Consider the following 5,276-nt stretch of genomic DNA (forward strand, 5'->3'; position numbering starts at 1 on the left):
ATCAGTGTTTGGGAAAAATGAAATTTTGTTATCAAGATGTATCTAAATCTGACACTGAAATTTGCACCTTTTTGGAAAGGTTTCTTGTTCTATTTGGGTTGAAAAATCAGTTTTCATGTTGAATAATAATGTTGAAAAGAGCAAACTCTGGTAAAAGAGAGACCTGGAAGTACACTGTTAAACTGCTTCCAATAATGAGAGAAATACAGAAGCACTTTGAGACTTTTAAGTCTTTCTCCTCTCCTCCACCGTTAAATCTCCAAAGTGCCTAAAAGTGTTAGATCTCTTGAACATTGTGAATGTAAATGGTCGTTGAAGATTGGAGAGGTAGAAACTTTTTTTTTTTCTCTGCTGAGTAATTATGTCAGTGGGGAAGTTCAGAAATGCAAATAAACCTCTCTCCTGCTTATATGTGTCTGTTTCTGTGTGCACAGTATTTTTACCTATAACCCTTGCAACAAGGTCTAGCATTTCCCAAAACAAGAATATTACTCTCAATTTGTTTCAGACGTGGTATAATATTTTCGGTTGTTTGAAAAAACTGTCACTTGGGCTGCAGTTTCTTTCTAGTATCAGTGATATGGAGAAACGTTCTGTCAACAAATAATATACATTGCTGTCTATGTTTAACAACAATGAAAATCACAACAGAAAGCACAGGAGCCAGCTTCAATTATTAGAGAAAACTATTGATTGAACAGAAGTCACCTAAAAATACACTTGGTTATTTAAGGAATGAAAGGTATCGTCACCTCTTTGAGTAGCTAGAAAACAGTACTATTTCCTATGTATGGCCTTACATATGTAAATGAGTAATTACATATGGTTTTAGGAACAAAATCACCTCAACCTAAAAAGGAACATTTTTCTACCTTGATATTGTCAAAACTTGTTCCCAGTCTCATTGATGTATTTTAATTCAATTTAACACAATACATCTAATATAACTCATTTTTAAGATTAATAATATTTCCTCCCCAAATTGTTAACTTTAAGTTTACTTTTTATTCTTCATGGCATCTGACAACATGCCTCTTAAAAATGATTACAACACCTTTCCAGAATCCCTGACAATAAAGTAAAAAATAACATTATGGCACCATCTAGTGACCTATTTTTCTTTTTCTTTTTCTTTTTTGATATTCAGCTCAAAAGCACATATTTCTATTGATTATGTAAAGCTAGGTGTATATGTAGCAAATGGGCAGCTAGAAATAATTTCTTTATACTATTACCCATGGATGAATCAAATTGATCTCAATGAAATAAAATTTCAAAAATAATTTCCTACCTTGTACAGTAGAAAGTGTTTTATAAGCAGGTTGATGATTTTGGACCTAACCTAGTTCTGCTAGATAAAAGTGAAATTATTGTAGGTGATGAAACAGGTAATGAAATTACTATACACTCATATTTTGAACTGAGTAAGACAAATCTATTTCTAGAACATGTTTTCATAAACAAATGAACTTTTTCTGTGTATAACAACATTGAAAAAGCTGATTTTCTCATACAAGTAATCATGATAACTTACGTGACAGCATCACAAAACCTGAAAATTTTGGTAAAAGAAAATAAATACCTCTTATACTACCAGATATAAATATTAATTTATTACATAGCTATGCATTCTCATTGTCAATAGCTGTGATAGTTAATACTGTCAACTTGATTGGATTAAAGGATATGAAGTACTGATCCTGGGTGTGTCTGTGAGGGTGTTGCCAAAAGAGATTAACATTTGAGTCAGTGGGCTGGGCAAGTCAGACCCACCCTTAATCTGGTGGACACAATCTAATCAACTCCTAACGAATATAAAGCAGGCAGAAAAACGTGAAAAAGAGAGACTGGCCTAGCCTTCCAGGCTGCGTCTTTCTCCTGTGCTGGATGCTTCCTGCCCTCCAACATCGGATGCCAAGTTCTTCAGGTTTGGGACTGGGACTGGCTCTCCTTGCTCCTCAGCTTGCAGACAGTCTATTATGGGACCTTGTGAACGTATAAGTTAATACTTAATAAACTCCTCTTTATATATATATATATATACACACGTATATATATGTATACGTATATATATATATATATATATAATATCTCCTATTACTTCTGTCCCTCTAGAGAACCCTAATATGATAGGTACGTATTGTTTAACATTATAATATGCAAATTAAGTTATGACTTATTTTTAGAATTCATAGATGTCTCATGACTTATCAATTCATTATAATTCTAAGATTGAATCTTAAATAGGAATGTATTGCATTTGTGTGTGTGTGTGTGTGTGTGTGTGTGTGTGTGTAAAAATTTGAGTTATCAGTGTATCAACTTACCTTCCTCTTTGAAATGTAGTGCTTTCTGTTTGCAGCGGGAAGTAGAATTTACAAAATGGAACTTGCTAAAATCATGCTTAAAACTAGAGCCTTTAGACTATGAAAGAGTCTAAGTAGATTCTGCTATGAATAAACCAAATATGTAGGGTTGCTTCTGTAACATGAAAGACATCTAAGAAGAAATTCTCACTGAGGATACTGAATTTTATACTTTTCCCAACTTTGACATCAGAATTTGATTATAACAGTGAAGCAGTGTCTATCAGGAACAATTAATCTATTTAAAATAAAACTCCAAAATAAAAATAAAATTGTAGGATTTTTTTTAAATCCATAAGTTTATAAAAATAGTTTTTAAAAAGTTAGGAATGATTGATTCTAGACTTTGTAAAAAAAATCCTGTATGTTTTTCTGTTGTATTCATTAATATAAATAAGTATAAATGCTCATTAGTGGTTTCTGATACTTATCTCCAGTCTCTTTTTCTATGGAACTGGCAGTACCCTTCACCAGTGTGGAAAAGGGAGTGGTTCTGTGAGATAAGAGAATTAATTTATCTTCTTGTCAGTGCAGACCATGCCACTCACCATCTGCACTGGGCCTGCTTCATGATCTTTATTCTGAACCGCAGAATGTACTTACTCAAGTATAATCTTTAAGTAACTAATCCTATCAATTGATGTCCATGGAAGACCTCACAAATGTCTATATTCTCTTCAAATCCCTGGTTGCTGAGTTTATAAGTTAATTCTGGGAATGTCTTTGTGACTTGACTCTTTGCATCTGCGTGTCACTGAAGGTGAGATTCCCTTCTATAATCACAAAGATATTGGTGCTGAAGAGAGAACTGCTTCAAACCCTATTTAAGATGAACAGTAATATATTAGTCCAATATTTTAAAAATTATAGAAGACGATACCATTTCCAGTATGGCTCCATTCGAGTCCTTTCAGAATCAGTGTTATAGTAGTGGGTAATGCGTAATCATTTTGGGTTCCCATCTGTCTAGAAGTTTTGATATTTCTTCAGCGCACTGAGTACCTTCTAATTTCATTCTGATCTTCAAATATGTAATTGTTGGGTTTTGGTTGTTGGATGCATTTATTCAAAGTGTTTTCACTTTAGAAACTTTCAGGGTAGCTATGCTGCTTTCTTAACAACAGAAATTAAACTCCCTAAGATTCAGTAAAGGTTTTATGAGCACAAGAGGGAAACACCATTGCCCCTGAAAATGGCTGATGCTGTGAATTTGATGACAAATTTTTGATGTTCTGAGTAGATGTCATGGTGATCATAGAAAGGACATTTGAAGCATAAGGGAATAATTTGAATACAAAATCATGGCCAGCATTGGGGAAAATAAATCTCTCATTGAAAGTATCAGAAATGAGTAGGTGCCAAGGAGTGTTCCACAGAAACAGAATGCAAAGGCACACCTGGTATTTTAAACTTTATGAAGCTCACTGCTTTCACTGTGACAAGTGAGAACACTGAGACAAAAGGAAAAGGCATGGTTGTCTCAAAGCACACAACTATAATAAAACTGGTACCAGAAAACTAAGAAGACACCATAGCATAGCAGTTGAATAAACAAATCAGATATCTAAAGACAATCTGGATTTGAATCCCAGGCTTCATAGACTTTAGTTCTGAAAACTTTGAAAGCACATTTCATCCCTATGAACCTCAGTTTCTTTATTTATTGAAATAAATTTAATAATACCAGTAGCTGAGAAAATTGTGCTGATTAAATGAGATACTACAGGAAAAGATCTTGGCACAGACACTAAAATCTAGTAATTGAACAATAAAATTTAACCAGTGTGGGAACCCGCTTTATAGGCTCCCATTATTGGTCCCTTTCCATTGCACTACAATAATTGTGCCAAATAACTAATATTAAATGAGCATTTGAAATAAAAAGCAAAATGTCTGCATGGAGGTTCTAGCAAAATATAATAAACTATTTGGTGAGATTGCATAACACAGCCTGAATTGGCTGATCTCATAACTTGGCCTAAAGAACAACTGAAGCTGGCCGCCTTTCCGTTTTGTTGTCATTATCATTGTTGTTATTTTCTAGGATAAATAATGGAAACAATGCCTACTTTAAGAATATCACTGAGGCCCATGGATATTATGAAGAGGACCTTTAAAAAACCGTGGGTTTTGTAAGCTAGCAGTAAAGAGCATTATGCTAACGGGGAGCCATATTTCTGCCTCAACAGGAAACAACCAACACAAAACAAAACAAAGCAAACAAGAGCAGAGTGAGGAGATCAACAGGAAAAAATATGTCAGTAAAGGGGGTAAGCTCCTTCTTCCACAATTAGGGAATATTTCTGCAAGTGCCTGCTGCCTTGTTCCTTACCGGAAGAACTCACAGGACAATGGACCAGATTCACACTATAGACTGGCTGCAAGTTTTTCAGAGCCAGGAGAAGAAGGGAAAAGGACCCTTTTCAGGCGGGATGCTTGCCTGAAAAGACGATTTGGGACAATTCTACTGCGGCAGAAATTAAAGAGGATGCCTTACTGCTTTTGAGATTGTTGCACATTTAGAATACTCGCAAGAAATAGCCTGAGGCCAAGTGCTCCCCAAAGTCACCCCTATATATATATTTGTGTGTGTGTGTGTGTGTGTGTGTGTGTTTGTAGTATATATGTATAATACACACGGAGAGAGAAATAGGTATACATGTGTAATACACACACAGACATGTATATATGGAGACAGAGCAAGAGAAATTATTTCCTCAGTAAGCCTCATGTATATTCCATAACTTTTAAAATTTTTACCATTTCAACAAATTCCAGTAATAGACTCTATATTTTCAGCTCCAACTCTAAGTGACTGTATCTAAACTACAGTTTATTTTATTTATTTAACAGCAGTGTGATGGATGCTGAAGATGTTGGTCATGAAAATAACTCTGTAAGTAGTCAAGC

The 5,276-nt window shown here is 34.5% G+C and overlaps 1 annotated feature.

Moving 5' to 3' along the window:
• Positions 466-625: an enhancer, noted in NCBI's record as "active region_10936". NCBI's record gives its function as "activates an Ori minimal core promoter by ATAC-STARR-seq in GM12878 lymphoblastoid cells {active_cell/tissue: GM12878}" and the evidence as "EXISTENCE:reporter gene assay evidence [ECO:0000049][PMID:35858748]".

Source organism: Homo sapiens, chromosome 16 (genome assembly GCF_000001405.40).
Source record: "Homo sapiens chromosome 16, GRCh38.p14 Primary Assembly".
In the NCBI taxonomy this organism is placed as follows: Eukaryota; Metazoa; Chordata; class Mammalia; order Primates; family Hominidae; genus Homo; species Homo sapiens.